At 42.5% G+C, this 21,280-nt stretch overlaps 2 protein-coding genes across 8 annotated transcripts in view; both read right to left on the bottom strand.

Moving 5' to 3' along the window:
- Nucleotides 1-9,765: 9,765 nt before the first annotated feature.
- Nucleotides 9,766-21,280, bottom strand: part of SH3BGR (SH3 domain binding glutamate rich protein) — a 69,642-nt gene continuing 58,127 nt past the window's right edge. For 3 of the 5 annotated variants that reach the window (NM_001317742.1, NM_001001713.1, NM_001317741.1), the window contains 3 exons: nucleotides 16,245-16,274; nucleotides 13,463-13,592; nucleotides 9,766-10,184 (listed from right to left, as the gene is read on the bottom strand). In NM_001317742.1, coding sequence (NP_001304671.1) covers nucleotides 13,497-13,592; nucleotides 16,245-16,274 — 126 coding nt within the window. In that variant the 3' untranslated portion in view covers nucleotides 9,766-10,184; nucleotides 13,463-13,496. The remainder of the gene's footprint in view (nucleotides 10,185-13,462; nucleotides 13,593-16,244; nucleotides 16,275-21,280) is intronic. The other 2 variants (NM_007341.3, NM_001317740.2) reach the window with 1 other exon arrangement.
- GET1-SH3BGR (GET1-SH3BGR readthrough) overlaps nucleotides 9,768-21,280 on the bottom strand; it is a 135,179-nt gene continuing 123,666 nt past the window's right edge. For 2 of the 3 annotated variants that reach the window (NR_146618.2, NM_001317744.2), the window contains 3 exons: nucleotides 16,245-16,274; nucleotides 13,463-13,592; nucleotides 9,768-10,184 (listed from right to left, as the gene is read on the bottom strand). Coding sequence is in view for 2 of the 3 variants with exons in the window: in NM_001317744.2 (NP_001304673.1) it covers nucleotides 13,497-13,592; nucleotides 16,245-16,274 (126 nt within the window). In the remaining variant the exon portion in view is untranslated. The remainder of the gene's footprint in view (nucleotides 10,185-13,462; nucleotides 13,593-16,244; nucleotides 16,275-21,280) is intronic. The other variant, NM_001350300.2, reaches the window with a different exon arrangement.

Genomic DNA, 21,280 nt, shown 5'->3' with positions numbered 1-21,280 from the left:
TAATGATTTGAGTGCCAGCTTGGCTGCAGTACAATAGAATACTAGGTAGACTTCTAATGCAATTGGCATACTGAAGAATTCATCAGAGTTTTGTTCTATTTTTTTGAGACAGAGTGTTGCTCTGTCTCCCAGGCTAGAGTGCAGTGCAGTGATCTTGGCTCACTGCAAGCTCCACCTCTCAGGTTCATGCCATTTTCCTGCCTCAGCCTCCTGAGTAGCTGGGACTACAGGTGCCTGCCACCATGCCCAGCTAATTTTTTATATTTTTAGTAGAGATGGGGTTTCACTGTGTTAGCCAGGATGGTCTCGATCTCCTGATCTCGTGATCCGCCCACCTCGGCCTCCCAGAGTACTGGGATTACAGGCGTGAGCCACCATGCCCAGCCTCATCAGAGTTTTTTAATAGCAGAATTGATCAAGCAGAATAAGGAATCAGTGAGCTTGAAGACAGGCTATTTGCAAATACACAGTCAGGTTTTTTTCCAAGATGGCAGATCGGAGGCAGTGTTAGTGTGTCTCTCATATTTGGAAGGAAAGAATACTGTGTAGAGATTCACAATGAATTTTTTTTTTCCAAGAATCAAAGCAGGAACTTAACAAGAAAACCAAAAGAATCCACAGACCTTTGAAAGAAGTGGCAGGCTGCAGCCTACCCTATGAGACAAGTAAGAAACTGTTTAAGTCCCCGGAGTGTGAGAGGGGGAGAGTCTGCCTCCAGAGCACACACACCCACCATGGAATCTGAAAATCCAGGCCATGGGAGAAGGTCTTAACTCTACCCAGAGCTGGAACAGACTCAGGGAGTGACATGAAAGATAAAAGTGGAAGCAGCAGCAGGAAGTGCCTTGCAGGCATTCCCAGTCTCCAGCATGAACTGGGGGAAGCCATTCCTGATTATATCCCACAGGGGTCCTCAGAGAAGTCAGCCAACGAACTCAGGGAGGGGTCACAACTTAAAAGAAGCTTTCAACTGAATTAAGAAGTTTTCAACTGAATTTTATAATATAATCTCAGGTGGGGACAAATTCCCTTGAGCAGAATCTAGGGAGGGGTGAATGGCAAGTGCTCTACAGACACTACCCTCAGGAGCTGGGTACCCAGCCTTGTGGGCAGATGGGGAACAGTGTGACCTGAAAGCCAAGATTGCTATCTGTGCAGGGAAGCTGATGGCCTGGCGCAGCTCTGTGCACAGACTGCCTGGATCTAACCCAGCACTGTTAGCAGAGTACTGCAGGAGTGAGATCAGCCTTGCCAAATGCATGGGAGCTGCATGAGACTTACTGCTACCCACTTTTCCCCACTCCCTTTGCAAACTGTCCTGTGCAGCAGAGGCAGTTATGCTCCTCTCCAGAACATTACCCAAGCAGCATGAAAAAAATTTCCCCAACCCTTGCGGGAGCTGTCACTAACCCTGCTCAAGGAGAGTCAGAGTGCAGACCTGCCTAACCCTGCCCCAACCTGGTTGTGCCCCTCCACCCACTCTAGTAGCTTTACACAAAGGACATAAATTTTGGGGAGTTTTATAGCCTCACCCATTGCCTGAGAAACCAGAATACTTTCCCAGGGCAACTTAGGGCAAGCTCAAATCCCACTGTTACTACCACAGCTAGTGCTCTTTGGCAATCACCACCTCCTGGATGGAGGCCAACCAACACAGTCCATTGTAGCACTTCTGAGTAGAATAACACTGTGCCCAGGAAGGAGAAAACAGTCATGTGACCTCAGCTATCACCTCTGCATACAGCACCCTGGCTAACCAGAGGTCTTGAGTCTATCCACATGACAAGTTCACTACAATTATAACCAGCATTCAAGAAAGCCAACACACTAAGCCTATCTACAACCAAGGAATCTCACAGAATCCACATTGCTCCCCTGCCACCTCCATCAGAGCTGGTGCTGGTATCTACAGATGGGAGACTTGAAGACAGGTCACATTACTGGATCCCTTGTAGACATTTCCTAACACCAGCCTGGAATCTGGTAGCCCCACTGGGTGGCTAGACCCAGGAGAGCAATAACAATCCCTATAGTATGGTTCTCAGGAATTCCCATTTTTAGGGAAGAGGAGGAATACAACATCAAAGGGAAGAATACCCAGATGAAAGAATCTAAACAGCAGGTCTTGAGTCCCAGATCTATCCACTAATGGGAAGTTTCAGAGATACAATTGCATTGCTAGGGACAGTAGGGAAAGTCTGCCCCAGTAGGCAGGCAGCCTGTCTGTACATGAAGGGTCTTGGAAAAGGGGTTCTTGTTCTTCTCTGGTACACCATTGCAGACACAGCTGGTGCTTCTCTCATGGGTATGCAGCATGGATGCACCTATGGTCAGCCTTCTGGTACAATTCAGGGTGATAGCATCCCCACAGGAGGAGCACTCCTCAGATTTAGGCTTGCGTGGGAGGCAGAGTCACAACCCCTCTCTACTTGGAACATCAACATTCCTACAGATGAAAAGAAGTGCTTGTCTGATCTGAATAGCCAGAACACTGGGACAGGAGTGAAGCTGGGAGGTAAGTAGTTTTCCTGCTGGCCTGGCAGGGGAGCTGAGGTAGCTCCCACCCTTTACCCTGATAAAACCTTAGACATCTAATTGAGAGCTCCCTCAGACACCTTCATCAAGGCTGGAACCTGCGCCCACCACTGGGTATTACAGCTACCTACCTGTTTTAGCTACAACTGGTGTCTACCCAGGGTTACCTCCTCTACTGGCCTGAAGCCTAAATCATCAACTCAGTAAATAAAATGCTGGGGAAAAATCAAATACATTTAAAAACTGTTCACAATGGGAGAATGAGATAAGCTTCAAGAGATCCTTGCTATTCCAACCATGTAGGAGACAGTGAACTTGCCCATACACCAAGTACATAAATACTACAGCCAACATCTGGGAAAGCCAGCACACAAAGACTCTCTATAACTAAGGAACTCATACGGAGTCTTCCCCCCTAAAATCACCAAGAATCAAATTAGGCTATAATAAACTATAAACATTGAAGTCAGACCCTTAAGAGAAAAAAAAAAAGAAATTAAAGAAAAAAATACAGTCAAATACATTCAAGAACAATTTGAAAAAATAGTCTACCCAAATGAGAAAGAACCAGAGAATTAATTCTGGTAATATGACAGAATAGGGTTCAATAACACCCCAAAAGATCACACTAGCTCCCTAGCAATGAATTCAAACCAATCTAAAATCCTTGAAATAGCAGACACAGAATTCAGAAGATTGATTATTAAGCTACTCAAGGAGATACCAGAGAAAGGTGAAAAACAAAATAAAGGAATTTTTTAAAATTCAGGATATGAATGAAAAATTTTCCAGAAAGATGGGTATCATAAAGAAAAACCAATTAGAACTCCTGGAAATTAAAGACACACTTAGGGAAATACAAAATGCAGTGAAAAGTTTTAAGAATAGACTAGAACAAGTAGAAGAAAGAATTTCAGAGCCTGAAGACAAGGCTTTTGAATTAACCCAATCAGAATCAAAATAAATGAACAAAATCTCCAAGAAATATGGGATTATGTAAAATGGCCATACCTAGTATAACTGGTGAAGGAACTCAAACAAATCATCAAGAAAAGAACAAATAACCCATCAAAAAGTGGGAAAGGACATGAATAGACATTTCTCAAAAGAAGACAAACAGCCAACAAACATACAAAAAAAATGCTCAACATCACGAATGCAGGGAAATGCAAGTTAAAACCACAATGAGATGCTACATTACTGCTGCAAGAATGGCCATAATGAAAAAGTCAAAAAACAATAGATGTTGGTATAGATATGGTGAACACTTTTACACCACCAGTAGGAATGTAAAATAGTGCAATCACTATGGAAAACTGAATGGAGATTCTTAAAAGAATCTCCAGACTACATACATAGAACTACCATTTGACCCAGCAATCCCACTACTGGGTATCTACCCAAAGGAAAAGAACTTATTGTATGAAATGGACACATGCGCATGCATGTTTATAGCAGCACAATTCACAATTGCAAAGATATAGAACTAACCTAAGTGCCCATCAACCAACAAGTGGATAAAGAAAATGTGGTATATATACAACCACGGAACACTACTCATCCATAAAAAGGAATGAAATAATGTCATTTGCAGCAAACTTAGATGGAGCTGGAGGCCATTATTCTAAGTGAAGTAACTCGGGAATCAAAAACCAAATATCATGTGTTCTCACTTATAAGGGAGCACTAAGCTGTGAGGACACAAAGGCATAACAATGATATAATGAAATTTAAGGGATTGAGGGGATGTTTGGGAGGGGGTTGAGGGATAAAAGCCTACATATTAGGTACACTGCTTGGGTGACAGGTGCACTAGAATCTCACAAATCACCACTAAAGAACGTATCTATGTAAACAAAAACTACCTGTACCCCAAAAATTATTGAAACAAAAAGTGCATCAAAAATAAGAAAATACACAGAGAAGAAAAAAGAATAAAGAACAATGAAGCAATCCTACAGGATCTAGAAAGTAGCCTAAAGGGGTAAACCTAATAGTTATTAGCCTTAAAGAGGAGGTAGAGAAAAAGGTAGGGACAGAAAGTTTATTCAAAGGGAAGGTAACAGAGTTTCCCATACCTAGAGAAAGGTATCAATATCCAAGTACAAGGCAGTTATAGAACACTAAGCAGATTTAACCCAAAGAAGACTACCTCGAGGCATTTATAGTCAAATTCCCAAAGGTCAAGGATAAAGAAAAGATCTTAAAAGCAGCAAGATAAAAGAAACAAATAACGTACAATGGACCTCCAACAGACTTTTCAGTAGAAACCTTACAAGCCAGGAGAAAGTGACATGGCATATTTGAAGTGCTGAAGGGAAAATACTTACCCCAGAATAGTACATGCAGTGGAAATATCCTTCAAACATGAAGGAGAAATAAAAACTTTCCCAAAAAAACAAAATGCATGCTTGTACCAAAATATCTCATATAACCCATAAATATATACACCTATGTACCCACAAAATTTTTAATTTAAAATTAAAAATAATTTTTTAAAAAGCAGGGACTACAGAGAAACCTGACCTGCTACAAAACGAACTAAAATTCATGTCATGGGATTAAGACGCACTCATTAAACCATCCTCAACTAGAAGGAGTTGTTCTCTCAGCTAAAAATACCATGTGGGGCTGGTTGCAACTCTGGCACATCACTGCGTGGCAGTTGATAGCTCAGAACCAAATGAGTTATTGGTGTGTGTGTGTCCTTCCGCATCAGTGGGCAAGATATATCCAAGGACAACCAGGCTGGAAAAGGCAGGTGGCAGTTTTAGTATTTTCTCTCTGCAACCTGAAACTTCGGATCTGAGGCCACTGACCAATTTCTAGAACCCTGTGGGTGGACAGTGACCCAGTTCCCTCTGTAACTGGCGCTGGTGGTGGCGGCCACAGCTAGCGGCCCAAAGAACTGGAAGATGAAGGTAATGGAATAGACCTCTGATGGTGCAACTAAGAAAACAAAATAGGTGGATAGTAAGTGAGAAGGGCAAGGCACCTTGCACCAGGGCCCGAACGGCATCGAGTCTGAAGACAGAATGCGAGGACCAAAGCCAGGCGGAGGAGGCGCTCTGGGGCCAAGGCGCACACTGCCCACGGCCAGCCAGGCACCGTAGAGGAACCGTACTGTGGTCCAGGACCGAGAGGAAAGGGCTTGTTGGGAAGGCTGTTCGTGGCTTTGGAGTGGGACACAGGTATATCTCAGCTTCGGTTCAGCCATTGCCGAAGTACTGAATTGAAACCCGGTGCCTCAGTTTCCTCCTTGCCAGATAAAGATGGTATCCACCTCATCGGGTTACTGTGGCAACACACGAAGCCTTTAATACAGAGCCCGGCTCATAGCAGGCACTCCGTTAGTGTTAGTGAATAAAAATAATAGGAAAGCCCACACCCTGATTGTAAGCCTAGACTGTGAGCTTGATTCATGGGAGTCTGCCTCGGAGGTTTCTCTCACCTCCCCTGACAAGATCCGGGTGCTAAATCTACAGAATGCCGGACTGGAACCAGGAGCCCCCCAGGTTAAGCCCCCACTCCACGCCCCCTCTATGCTACTCACACCTGTCCACCTGAGCCCCTCCCCAACTGGAATCTTCCACACCTGAGTACATTTCCGCATCATTGAACAATCTCCTGACTTCTGATTTGGAAAACAGCCAGATGCACTGATACATTTTAAAGATTTCCCAACTCAGTTTTACTACTTCCAAGAAAGTCCTTCCAAAACAAAGTAGTGAAAAAGCCAAGTAACCTAGACAACTGTGAAAGGAATGCCTTTGTTAGGATCGTGAATATATTTCCAAATATTTGGACATATGTTCTATTCGAACTAAAAGTCTTGCGAAAGAAAAGGATAATCAACCCCTTCAATAATCAGAGTTCTGTTTTTACTTATTTGATAAGATAGAACCCCATTAGAGGCTAAAAGACCCCGTATCTTTATCAAAATTGTCAACATGCAATCAGTTGTTGACTGAATTTAGGCTCCTTTTGTATAATGCAAGGATGTGCATTCAAACAATAAATGCACATTTGGCCCAAAATAAAGTTATCTTGGATAAAAGCTTTATAAATGATACACTAATTAATTCACAAATTAATTATAAGTAGAGTTTTTGTCTATTTTCCTCCATCTGGTTGACAAATACCTCTTCCCACCTTCTAATGTCAACTAGCAGTACCCTGACTCGGGTTCACAGCCAGGGGACCTCGGGGGCAGCGACACCATAGCAAGAAGCTTGTCTTTTATCGCCACCTAATGGCCATTCTCTGTTATTACAATGTACCAGGCCCTTCACACCTACTTGCCGTGCTTGCACAGGTGTTAACAGTTAAATGAGGTGCGGTTTTTTTGTTTTGTTTTGTTTTGTTTTTGAGAAAGGGTCTTGCTCTGTCACTCGGGCTGGAGAGCAGTAGCGTGATCAATGGGCTGGGCTAGAGTGCTGGCTCAAGCAATCCTCCCACTTTGGCCTCCCGAGTAGCTGGAACTACAAGCACACGCAACCATGCCTGGCTGATTTTTGTATTTTTTGTAGGGATGGGGTCTTGCTATGTTGCCCAGGTTGGTCTTGAACTCCTGGGCTCAGGCAATCCACCCACCTCGGCCTTCCAAAGTGCTGGGATTACAGGCATAAGTCACCACACCTGGCCCGGGTAAATGAGTTTTGAAAGAAAACATTTGTAGGCTGGGCATGGTGGCTCACGCCTGTAATCCCAGTATTTTGGGAGGCTGCAGTGGGCAGATTGCCTGAGGTCAGAGTTCGAGACCAGCCTGTCCAACACGGTGAAACCCCATCTCTATTAAAAATACAAAAATTAGCCAAACATGGTAGTGCAGGCCTATAGTCCCAGATACTCCGGCAGCTGAGGCAGGAGAATCACTTGAACCTGGGAGACAGAGCTTGCAGTGAGAGTGCCACTGCGCTCCACCCTGGCGACAGAGCGAGACACTGTCTCCAAAAAAAAAAAAAGAAAAAAAATCTGTAAATATTTCCAAAGAATCTTTGCAGGCAATACAGTTCATTCTCTTCCTATACCTTTCACATTTCATTGAGAAAACTAAGAACTCAAAGACAACCACAAAGGAAGATTTCAGTCCAAAGAAACGAGAGGGAGCCCAGGAGAGGAGAGTGGGGAAAGGAGAGTGTATTGTTCAGTGGCTGGAAAAAAAATACACTCAAATTTTTGTGTAGTTGCTTTTCTAATTAAAAAAAAAAAAAAGGAAAGAAAAGAAACAGTTCCTTTGCGTGTTCAGGCCTCCTTTATACTATTAAACCAAGCTCTTTGAACTTCGATTCACTTCAGATCATCATGCAATTATTCCATTTCTCTGGTCTCTTTTGGTTTTTCTTCAAAATGATTTTCCTTATTCACTTGGGGTTTCCTTGTGAGTTATTCTTTTTTACAGATTCACAATGCTGCTTAGTTTCTAGAAGCTTCCTATATTGAAAAGCATTCAGATTTTTTAATCGTATTTTGATACCATACAGTCCATATCTGGGATTCTCCTCACTGTGCCACTGGATTGCTAACCATGGAAGGCTGAAGGGACAGCTGAAGCCAAAACTAGAAGAGAACTGATACCATCCATAGGGTACTATTGATCTAAGTGATTTTTGCATTTCAGTGATACTTTAAATAAAATGAAACAGGAGCAAATACAAATACCCTTCTAAGATGTTAATGTTTCTGACTACAGGAAAACAATATAAGAAAAAATTAATTCAATTTAAATAAGTGGTCTGGGTTTTTATCTTTGCTTATTGTCAGCATAGATATTTATTTTCTTTTTAAAATATGAGAAATAGCAAGGTGGGCAGATCTCTTGAGGACAGGAGTTCCAGACCAGCCTGGCCAATATGGTGAAACCCTGTCTCTACTAAAAATACAAAAATTAGCTGGGCGTAGTGGCACGTGCCTGTAATCACAGCTACTCAGGAGGCTGAGGCAGGAGAATTGCTTGAACCTGGGAGGCGGAGGTTGCAGTGAGCTGAGATCCTGCCACTGAACTCCAGCCTGGGCGATAGAGCAAGACTCTGTTTCAAAAAAAAAAAAGAGAGAGAGAGAGAGAGAAATAGGAGGAAAATTGGCACCTAACTAAATCTATCTCCATCCTACTCTGCCATGAAAGAGAGAAAAGTCAGCCCTGAGCAAGAAGAAGAAAGTTAAGGCCTATTTGTGTAGGGGGTTGTTGTAAAAATTATGCAAGCTTTTTAGATAGGACATAATTTAGTGCAATGAAATTAAAAGTAGAAATTAATTTTCAATTATATGAATTTCCATTTTACTGTGGTCTTTTACCTTAAGCAAAGGGAGAAATGTTTTTAACACAGACTACTTCAATGATTGGAAACAAAATAACCTAATTCTATTCAAAATGCCTTTTTTTGTTACTAGGGTAACAAGAAAAGAGCCGTTTCCCAGAGTTCATGACAGCCACGAGACTTCTGCAACTGCAGAATACACTCTGAAATAACACCAACAGACTCTGCTGCAAAATTAGGAGGCAGACTCCAGAGGGGAAAGTTTATGCCACTCCAAGTTGAATTGCCATAATTAACATGAAATAGGAAAAGAGCACAGCAAGGAGATGAGCCCCTCTGACAATACAGGAGCAACATTTGCTGCAAAAACACAAGGAATCACACATAGGCAGGGAGGTAGCAGGGGGAATATCAAAATCTTACAAGGAAGAAAAAATATCTACAGTAAACTGAGGCAGGCAGGTGAGCAGAGAAATGCTATCAAACTTACCTGGTGTACAAGTCATTGGAGCTGGATCAGCTGTAGGTGAACACACACTCCTGGCCATCAGGAAGAAAAATTACAGGACCCGTCTCCACAGCCATGGCTACAAATCAATCAACAGCAGGAGAAACAGAAGCAGCCACTCCCTTCAGCTCAGAAACGTGTGAAGGGCACTGGGTTGCAGATTTCTGTCCTTACCATCATCCCTCCTTACCATCATCCCCACACAAGTGGATGATAAAGTTACAGTTAGATAAGGCTTCAAAGATGATACGCACAACGTGTGTGTAATAAAAAAAAAAATACGACGTAATGAGACAATCAATGCAATTGAAAACATGGACCAAATAATCAGTGCAATAAAAGACATCGATCCCAACGCAGACAGAAAAGTGCTGCTGAAGATTTAGACTTGGCAACAGACAGACGGAGTTCAGGCATATGCAAGCAGAGACTATAAATAATGAAATGATGCTCCTTGGGACAAGATATTTTTCTATTAATCTTTATTTATATGATGGTTCTCTGGAAAGCACTTCATTTTAAAACCTGTTTCTGAGATAAGTAGCATAAGGCGCATTTGAAGAAATACTATTGTTGTATCACAGAGAACTTCCATGCCTTGAAATCATTTTTTTCAGAGTATTATTAATAAGATGGTCTAGCTATGCAGAGCAAAAAAGAAAAAAAAATCTTCAAAAGCCAAGACTGTCAGGCACATGAAGGTATGCATAAACGGTCTTCACATTTAATTTTGTATGATTCGGGAGATACCTCCATGTACATCTAACCAGGTCAGGCAGCATAAGTCCTCAGTAACCCTGGGTGTGCCGGCTTCAAGCCAAAGTATTCTGTTGAGTTTGGTTTGTGGAGAGACATTTGAAATGTTGCTTCATAGCTTCCATTTTCTAAAAGAAAAGGCAAATATTAGGGAAAGACTGTAGAGAAAGACACAGAATGTTTACCACAATCTTCATCACTTAACATACAATAAAGGAAAGTGTTGCCTTTTATTCTATAAACCACTAGTCATCATTTGCTCCCCACTGAAAGGAAAGGGAATTTGTCTCATGGAAAACTAAGCTAGATTTATATCCTTTCTCTGCATAAACACATATCAAACACCATAAGGAAGACAACATCTCCAATTATAATTTCCCACTGTGTTTTCATGGAAAATAGGCTGAATTGACAGCTTGGTCCCAGAGGCGGAGCTCTAAATGGTTCATGGCTACACCAGAAGAAGGTATTAAGTGGCAAGCTTTGGGGAGGTAGAATCCAGTCTCATATTGGACATTATTTGCCCTGGGACTCAAACATCAATTTAGATTCTAGGTCAGACGTGGTGGTTCATGCCTGTAATTCCAACACTTTGGGAGGCCAAGGTGGGCAGAGCACTTGAGCCTAAGAGTTCGAGACCAGCCTAGGCAACATGGTGAAACCCCATCTCTACAAAAAATACGAAAATTAGCCAGGCATAGTAGTGCGTGCCTGTAATCCCAGCGACTCAAGAAGCTGAGGTGGGAGGATCACCTGAGACCAGGGAGGTCAAAGTGAGCCATGACCTCACCACTGCACTCCAGCCTGGGTGACAGAGTGAGACCCTGTCTCAAAAAATAAAATAAATAAATAAATAATAATAATAATAGATTCTGACTCCAACTTCAACTATGGGAAATGAGAATTCTTTCATAGTTCCATTCATTGCCTTGTTCTGTCTAAAATCGTCTTTTCAAATAAAATGCATGGATAATCTATGAGTTATGAGATGGGTTTGTTTTTGGAAGCCAAATAGTTTGCAGAATACCTGACTGCATCATCATGTCGCATTTTAAAGGTTATTGACTCTCTTCGGGAGTCAGTGGCTGGGATTTAGGGTGCTGCCTGGTTTACTCCTTCACTGTCAGACATTTTGACCTCACAACAGACTATTAGGGACTGGATTCCAAACTAGAACCCATCAGAGAAACAGGCAGAATGTGCTAGCCACAACTGTAACTTGCCTTTTTTTCTTTCTTTTTTGGAAATGGCCTATAAAGAAGCCATCTGTCTACATTAAAGATTCTCTCTCGGCTGTGCCATTTCACATCCAATATTTCTTTATAATTATCACATTAAAACTGCACAATTTTTAAAGAACTTTCCAAGCTGAGTGAACAGACATGGATTTAAACAGGACCAATGAGTCTGTTACTGTGGGTTTTGCTTTGTTTTGTTTCTGGTATGAGGATAAATATAATCATATTTTCATTTTCTACCATTCTTCAGGTAGAATATCTTAAGCTTGCCAGTTTCCTTTTTTTCAAAAATGAGTCCCAACCCACTCCTTAGAAATGGAATTGTAACCAAGTGGCAAGCAGAGGGCTTTAAAGTAGAAGTCTGTGGGTCCAGAGCATGAAAGAAACACCCTGGAGAGACATCAAATCGTGGGCTAGAATCACTTTCTCATTCAAGCAAATGAATGACAAAACCTTTATGGTCCAATAACAAAGTGTGATGGCCACCCTCACTAGCTCCAAGATGCTCTAAAAATAGATTAAGTGCTTTTTATATCAGCTTTTTTTTGTAAGTCTATTAAGAAGGGACATCCCTACTATTCAAATTGGACTTTGGTGCAAAGAGCATTGCTATTTGTCAGCCAATTTTTAAAGAGCACCAAAGATTTCTTCTTCCTTCTCCAAATAAACCCTTCTATCCACCCTTCTTTGTACATGCACCAATTCTTAACTAGAGACCTGCCTGGGGAACATGGTGAAGTCACTTTAGGTATCTTTGACAAGTCAGCTTTTGCTGCCTTGTAATTTTAAACTTCTACTGACGATGGAAAATAATTATGTAATTCTTACTGGTTTGATAAGTGTCTCTCATTTAGAGAATAATGAGTGCATATTCCATCATTATCTCCTGAGAGTAACAGCCCAAAAAGCCGTCTTAATTTTCAGTGGAGGCATAATATGGGAGATAAAAAGACTAAACTTTTTTAAATTTTTTAAAAAACGCTTATAGCTCCAGAGCAAAACCATGAGCAATGTTGCCCTAGAGAATAAACTATGGCCTCAAATTCAGTTGCAAAGCCAATCATATTAATAATAATACAACATGTACCTAGGTATTTGCCAAATATCAGGAAAAAACAGATATTTTTATAGCACTTAATGTCTTCTGTTTTGTTTTGTTTTGTTTTTTGTTTTTGTTTTTGTTTTGGAGACAGAGTCTTGCTCTGTCACCCAGGCTGGAGTGCAGTGGTGCAATCTTGGCTCACTGCAACCTCTGCCTCCCGGGTTCAAGTGATTTTCAGGCTTCAGCCTCCCAAGTAGCTGGGACCGCAGGCATGAGCCACCCCACCCGGCTAATGCACTTCATGTCTTTAGGGGTTTTCACGCATGCTGTCCTATCTGTATGGCTCACAATATTTAAGCATTCGCCCATGTCCTCAAGATCCATTATCAGATTCTATTGTCTTATTAACACTTAATAAATGTTCACTAATATGTGGCACTTATCAAACTAGTAAGAATTACATAATTATTTTCCATCATCAAGGGAAGTTTAAAACCAGAAGGCAGCAAGAGCTTACTTGTCAAAGATACCTAAAGGGACTTCACCATGTTCCCCGGTGTTTCCAGAGGAGCGTTCTGGTTAATAGAAACGGAAATGGAGTACCAAGCACTGACGACTAAACCCGTGGCAGCAATAATTTTCTTTCATGACTCAACACCAGCTTTGTGATTTTTTAAGGTTATAATTTATTGCCATCATTCTGAACATCAGTAGTCACCCCCCTAAAGTTGTACATGTGGTTGGTGGAGGAGTTGAGGTTACAGAATGCTGATAAAAGGACACTTGCTGTATCTTCTCTCAAACAAAGTTTATATAGAGGAAGAGGAGGAAGTAAATGCAAAACAAAACTCTTCCCTGCATCAAAGGTGCACTTTTTCCTAGAAATCCCATCAACCATAGCCTTCTGTGCCCTAGTGTGCAAGAAACAGACCCACGAAAGGTCAGCAGCCCCGCAGCTCTAGAAAGGAGCTGGACCCCGCCAGAAAGGTGTGCAGACCAGGGCTTTGGAAGGAGACAGACAGCCCTGAATTGGAATTCCCTTTCTCCTGTTACTAAGCAAAATGTGCCGCAGATAGCATACAGTACGGTAACTAGCAGCTTTTCCACCCCAGAATCCTGTAGCTACCTGGAGAAGTGGAAGAAATGAAGCATGAAAAGGCCTAGGAATCTTCGTCTTCTCCAGGCTCTTCTCCTTCTGCAGTTTCTTCCTCCTCCTCGGCTTCCCCTTCCGCACCCTCCATGGCTATTTCTTCCGTCTTATTTTAACAAAACTTACATTAGTATTAAGAAGCATAAGGGCCAAGGATACAGTGAGAAAAAGACTGTAAAATGCTGGACTAGAGGTCAAAGCCTCCCACACCCCACCACACAACACACAAACAAACACACACAACACACAAATACACACACCACACATGCCACACAAACACATGCCACACACACACCCCACACACATACCGCCCAAACACACACACACCACGGAAACACACATGACACACAGCACACACACCCCCCCACACACCACCCAGACACACATCCACGCACACACACCACATACACACCACACACAAATACCAAACACCACATAGCACACACACACACCAGACCACACACCCCACACACCACATCACATATACCACAAATACACACACAATATACACATACACATCACACATACACATACATACCCTCCACACCATAACATACACACCATAACACACATCACACACACACACACCAAACACACCACACACCATATACACCACACACAAATACACATACACCACACATACAACACACCACACATACCACACATACATACACACACATAAAAAAAATCATCCTTCTAAACACAGAGTCCTCAATTTAGAATGGTGCTTTAGAATGATATGTTAATCCTAACAGGTTTTATAATCCCACCTAAGTGTACAGTCTCCACTCATATTAACAAACCATTCTCAGCAAATAACCTTTACAAATTCAGAAAGTATATATATATATATATATATATATATATATATATATAGTTAGAAGAATCAAATACAAAAAGAATCAGCAAATTGAATTTTGTCAGGATGAGCTGTTAAATGCACAAGTTGGTTACATTTTCTTGTAACAAGCTAATTTCTTGAAGCAAAAGTTATCAGCAACCTATATATATAATCTGGAATTTCTTCCAAATTAACAATATGTTTTTATCTTATTTTTAAAATTCTATTTTGAAGCTGGCCTAGCAAGAGAGAAACAAAAGAAATAATTATTGGAAAGACGTAAATATTGAGAAATCATGGTGTAGAATATACTAGAAATAATCTATAGGTCTAAGAAGAGGGGTTGGTTTGATATATTAACATTTAAAATGATGAAGCAGATCTGTACTGACTACCTCCCCAAATATAGACACATTCCATGAAAAAAAAGGAGACTACAAGAGTATTCACCAGAAATTGATGGGGTGTGTGTGTGTGTGTGTAGCTACAGTGTGTGTGTGTGTGTGTGTGTGTGTAGCTACAGTGTGTGTGTGTGTGTGTGTGTGTAGCTACAGTGTGTGTGTGTGTGTGTGTGTGTGTATGTAGCTACAGTGGTTATCTCTGGGTAACGAGGGTTAAAAGCTATGTTCATTTTCCTCTTCTATCTGCATTTTTTAAATTTTCTATAAAGATCATGAATTTTGTCATTTCAAAAGTTAACAAAGGCTGGGCGCGGTGGCTCACGCCTGTAATCCCAGCACTTTGGGAGGCCGAGGCGGGCGGATCACAAGGTCAGGAGATCGAGACCATCTTGGCTAACACGGTGAAACCCCGTCTCTACTAAAAATACAAAAAATTAGCCGGGCGCGGTGGCGGGCGCCTGTAGTCCCAGCTACTCGGGAGGCTGAGGCAGGAGAATGGCGTGAACCTGGGAGGCGGAGCTTGCAGTGAGCCGAGATTGCGCCACTGCAATCCGGCCTGGGCTAAACAGCGGGACTCCGTCTCAAAAAAAAAAAAAAGTTAACAAAAGTTTCTTTGGGGGGATTTCTTTTGACATTTGGGACCCTTTTTAATGTTGATGACCTTGTGCTGAAACATCTAGACAATACACGTAACTTAGTAAATTATTCTCCCTACCCTTGTGTTCATAATTTTAAGTTAGTTCTCTAGCATTTTAAAGTGATTAATCCAGGCCCAGTGCAGTGGCTCACACCTGTAATCCCAGCACTTTGGGAGGCCGAGGTGGGTGGATCACTTGGGGTCAGGAGTTCAAGACCAGCCTGGCCAACATGGTGAAATCCCATCTCTACTAAAAATACAAAAATTAGCCAGGTGTGGTGACACGTGCCTGTAATTCCAGCTACTCAGAAGGCTGAGGCAGGAGAATCGCTTGAACCCAGGAAGCGGAGGTTGCAGTGAGCTGAGATCACACCACTGCACTCCAGCCTGGGCAAGAGAGTGAGACCCTGTCTCAAAAAAAAAAAAAAAAAAAAACAATAAAAGTGATTAATTCAAAGATGTTCAAAAACATAAACATAGGTGGAATCCCTCCCTCAATGAAAACACCACTAACCACCATGCAGGATGCCTAAACCCAGTGCATTCAACAGGGTGGAAAAGGACGAGGAGCAGGCATCTCCAGCCAGTGCCCTGGCCTGGCCTGGCCTGATGTCAGTGAGAAACCACGGAAGACACCTTCACCTGAGGGGGCTCCGAACAGAGTCCACAGCCAAGCCCCGTTTCTCTCTCCACCTCCCTCGGACAAACTTATCTCCAACTTACTTTCCTTCTCAGCATGTTAAAGGAGGATTTTCTGGGTGTGTGGGTTGCATCGCTCTCTTATGTTATTAAGAACGTGCCTCAAGCTGCAATCCTCCCACCTAAAAGATGTTTTTATTAAGCAGATTAAGCACAGCTGTTAAAGATGGTCGACCGTACCTCTTCTGTGGCTGTCTCTCCTTCTTCTTCCTTACATCCATAAATCAAAATTAAAGAAAAAAACATAATTCAAGTACGTTTAAAGTCAAATCTGAAAATCAAGCAAACTATAATAAAATACAAGCTAATCAAAATGAACAACACATTAGTTTATCCATAAAATAAGTAAATAGCAAAGATATGATAGCTGGGTGATCCCTACTTCTTTCATACATTATATTTCAAGCTCTTAAAATAACTGTGAGATTAAAGACCGTTTCCCATCACTTGAACTCCTGAGAAAATGTAATTATTAATACTGCTTAGTAATACATTCAATTCTATTTCTAAAGCATACCAAAGATTGATAGTGCTATCTAGCGAAATTCAGACCATATGCAAGCAATGTAAAAATTTGAACAAAAATGTCTTTTCTGACTTTATGCCCTTATAACTATGTCTTTACTTCAGGTTTGAACAAGTTAATAAAAGTAGGTCAAAAACTTTTCCTCTATGAGAACAAAATGATAACATTTCTGAATCACAAAGTATTTTAAATACTGATTTCTGGGTAAAGAAAGAAATTTGCAAGGTAAGAGTGGGTGGGGTCACCCAAGGCTCAAATAGGTCTCTACTGTGCAAGCCACCAGCCCACTGGAATTTCTATTTCCCCCAGATCAAAGCAAAATAACCAGGTTACAGCTCCTAAAAATGCCTCTAAGAAGAAAACAAAAGCTTTTCCATCCCTTCCCAGAATGGTCCGATAAACCTCCCTGAAGCCAGAGTGCCACAATTGCTTTCATTAAAGAGAGAGATGTGGTTCTTGAGAGCAGTCCCTAAAAATTCCTAATGCCTTACAATTCAGGCAGTGAGCTCAGGGAATCATGGACGGGGGGCACTGAATGTGATCTTGCAGTCATATACATTCTCTACCCAGCACCATGTTTATACAGATGAGGACACTGAGGCCACAGAGGGAAGTCATTTGCCAAAGTCAAAGGTCACAGGACAAGGAGTCAACACAATCAGGACTCACTGCAAGTCTACTGATTCCTAATTAAGTGTCTTTGTTACACTACCAGGCAGCCTCTCAAGATTAATAATGGAAAAATCAAAATCACAGAAGGTGGCAGAGTACAACAGCTCATGCCTGTAATCCCAGCTCTTTGGAAGGCTGAGATGGAAGGATCACTTGAGGCCAGGAGTTCAAGACCAGCCTGGGCAACATAGCAAGACGCCCCCATCTCTATGAAACATGTTAAAAATTAGCCAGGCATCCAGAGGCAGAGGCGGGAGGATCACTTGAGCCCAGGAGTTTGAGGCTGCTGTGAGCTATGATCATGCCACTGCACTCCAGCGTGGGTGACAAAATAAGACCTTGTCTATAAAGTAAAATTTTAAAAATCACAGAAGGTAGGCCAGGCACAGTGGCTCATGCCTGTAATCCCAGCACTTTGGGAGGCCAAGGCGGGCAGATCACCTGAGATCAGGAGTTTGAGACCAGCCTGACCAACATGGAAAAACCCCGTCTCTATTAAAAATATAAAATTAGCTGGGCATGGTGGCGCATGCCTGTAATCCCAGCTACTTGGGAGGCTGAGGCAGGAGAATCGCTTGAACCCAGGAGGCGGAGGTTGCGGTGAGTCAAGATTGCGCCACTGCACTCCAGCCTGAGCAACAAGAGCAAAACTCCATCTAAAATAAATAAATAAATAAATATCACAGAAGGCAAGTTATACAGCATCCAACACACTCCCACATCTCCTGGCCCAACTTCATGTTTTTAGCCATTTCCAGAACAATACCTTCCTATTTCTGAGACGGGCACTGAACTTGAAAGCCTGACAGTGCCAGCCAGGTCTGAATCAGGCCAAGAGGACTTTTTCAGCACTGGGAATCTTCAAACTAACCTTTACGTTAAATGCCACTGGTGACACCCCAAGTTTTGGTGCTCAAATAATGTGCAGGAGAAGAGTCTGGCACTTGTTGCAAAATCCAGGGGTTGCTTTCACAGCGACGTGTTGATCGTGCCTCTTTAATCCTGCCTAATCCTGCCCATGTCTCGCCCCTCCTCTGCCATGACCACCATCTTTGCTCACTGGGTTGCTGAAGGAAGCTCCTAAAGAGTGATTATCACCTCCTCTTTTCTTTCTCATCTCCAATCTGTGCTCCAGACTGCAGCCAGAGAGATCGTTCCAAAAAGCACCCAACCTTACTGTACTACCCTCATCTTTAGAAACTTCCATCTCCTCAAGATACTCTATCCTCCTGATATGGTTTGGCTGTGTACCCACCCAAATCTCACCTTGACTTGCAATCATCACCACGTGTCAAGGGTGGGGCCAGGTGGAGGTAACTGAATCAGGGGGGCGGGTTCCCCCATACTGTTCTTGTGGTAGTAAGTCTCACAAGATCTCATGGTTTTGTAAATGGGAGTTCCCCTGCACAAGCCCTCTTGTTTGCCACCATGTAAGACATGGCTTTGCTCCTCCTTCGCCTTCTGCCATGATTGTGAGGCCTCCCCCGCCATGTGGAACGGTGAGTCCATTAAACCTCTTTCCTTTATAAATTACCCAGTCTTGGGTATTTCTTTATTAGCAGCGTGAGAACAGACTAATACACCTCCTTAGAACAGTGAAAAGGCCATCTGGCTCTGTGTACCCCTCTGGCCTCATCCCTCACCACTCTACTTCAGCCATTCTGAGTCACATGCAATTTTCTCACATTGGCCACACCTTCCAGGATATGCTCAAAACATTTCCAAGGAGACTTTCCTAACCCATAAGGTTGAGTTAAGGACCTTCTCACTTGCTCCCATAATCATCATTTACTTATCTGTCTCCCTCACTAGTCTGTGTGTTTGGGGGCATAACCTGTGTCTTATTCATTTTTGGATCTCTGGGAACTGTCTGGCCCCTCCAGGCCACTTTCTGGAACCAACAGGCAAGCTCGATAAATAGGTGTTAGTGATTGGATAGAAGAACACATGAAATCTGTTAGTAACTCTTTGGATCTCAAAGAACTTTGATTTTCTTCTTCTTCACATAGGATCAGAATAAAATTCATTATATGTACCATAGAATTATTGGTTATGTAGAGTTTTACATTCTTCTGAATCCAATTATTTTTATTAGTTATATTCAGTTGAAACAAATGAATTAACCAGATACTGTCAACCGTAGAGCTAGCCTGGGGGGCAGTAGGAAGTCTTATAGGAATGTAAGTCTCAACTTTTATAGTTAGCTAGCAACAACTATGGAGGAACCTAGCACTCTTTTTTTTTGAGACGAAGTTTTGCTCTCGTTGCCCAGACTGGAGTGCAATGGCGCAATCTCAGCTCACTGCAACCTCTGCCTCCTGGGTTCAAGCTATTCTCCTGCCTCAGGCTCCCAAGGAGCTGGGATTACAGGCACCCGCTACCACACCCAGCTAATTTTTTGTATTTTTAGTAGAGATGGGGTTTCACCATGTTGGCCACGCTGGTTTCAAACTCCTGACCTTCAGGTGATTCACCCGCTTCAGCCTCCCGAAGTGCTGGGAATACAGGTGTGAGACACCGCATCTGGCTCCTAGCACTCTTTATCAATATCTGAATTGACCTTAATTTCTTAAAAGATATGTTTAGCAGGGAAAGTGATTGCTCAGGGGAAGTGATTGCTCAGAGAATGCATAAAAATACTTAGCCTCGAAAGGATAAGTAAGCTTGGAAGAACTTTGGGTATTACCACCACAAGCTTCCCCAGAACATAAGCTCTGTGGGGGCAGTGACTCTGTCATTTTCACTGCTCCCTCCACAGTCCCTGGAGTCCTGCCTGGCAAGTGGCAGCACTCAATCTGCCCATAAAATGTTGAATGACTGCATTTGTGTAATGCTACTCCAGCTCAGCTTCAAATCCCCCATAGAATGAGGTGGGATATATTAGTTTTAAAAATAATGGCTGGGCGTGGTGGCACATGCCTGTAAACCCAACACTTTAGGAGGCTGAGGAGGGAGGATCACTTGAGGCCAGGAGTTTGAGGCCAGCCTGGTCAACAGAGCAAGACCCCATCTCTACAAAAAATGTAAAAATTAGCTGGGTGTGGTGGCCTGTGCCTATAGTCCCAGCTACTCGGGAGGCTGACGTGGAAGAATCACTCGAGCCCACTATGATTATGCCAATGCACTCCAGCCTGGGTGACAGAATGAGACTCTGTCTCTAAAAATAAATAAATAAAAATAATAATAATTAAGCTTCCAACCTTGGTTCATAGAATTATAAAATACTGGAATTAGGCAGATCCTTAAAAGTTATCTATGTAAAATGCTTGAATTGACTTTCACGGCTGGCAAGTAATTATAGGCACAAAAGCATTTTTTTAAGATAATTATAATCATCCAGTCAATTAAGCCAAGATCTCACATAATCACCATTTGAGGAAGCATACACCTTAAAGTAATTTCACCTTGTTTTTCAGAGAAAGCCAGAAGAGAGAAACCTCAGAAGTGGGAAGTCTTAGAACCTTCCACAGCAGCTATTTTTGTTGGAAACTTGGCCAGAAAAGCAGACTGCAGAGGTGGTGCGTGGCCAGAACTAAGGACAGGTGTCCGTGGTGGTGAGTGCCAGGCAGCGTTCACTGGGAACAGGTGGCAGGTGTGGGAGATAGTGAAGGACTAGCCCAGCGTGACCTGCAAGGGCAGCCAGCCTCAGAGCGGCTAGAGATGAGAGGACAGAGGCAGAGTCCTCTCGAGCTGCAGGCACTCCAGGGACCCAGGCTGAGACCCATGACTCCTCCCACAAACCTACATCAATGTTTGCCCCTTGAAACTTTTCTCAAGACTGCTATTGGAGGAAGCCAGAGAGGGGTGGTTACAGACCATAATCATGTTATCTGTCAAGCAAGGGCCTCATGACTTTCAGATAGGATGACTGGGTTCACAAAGCATACAATTTTAAATAATTGTACCTTGATCAAAAAACACAAACCAAACCTGCACAAGGTGCAATGTTTCCAGCATTTTCTAAAGCTCTCATGATGTCCCAGTCTGCAGTTCATTTCTTAGAGAATGCCCAGAAGCT

Source organism: Homo sapiens, chromosome 21, assembly GCF_000001405.40.
Source record: "Homo sapiens chromosome 21, GRCh38.p14 Primary Assembly".
In the NCBI taxonomy this organism is placed as follows: domain Eukaryota; kingdom Metazoa; phylum Chordata; class Mammalia; order Primates; family Hominidae; genus Homo; species Homo sapiens.
The sequence above is the reverse complement of the archived record's forward strand: the minus strand, read 5'-3'. Positions and strand labels throughout refer to the sequence as shown.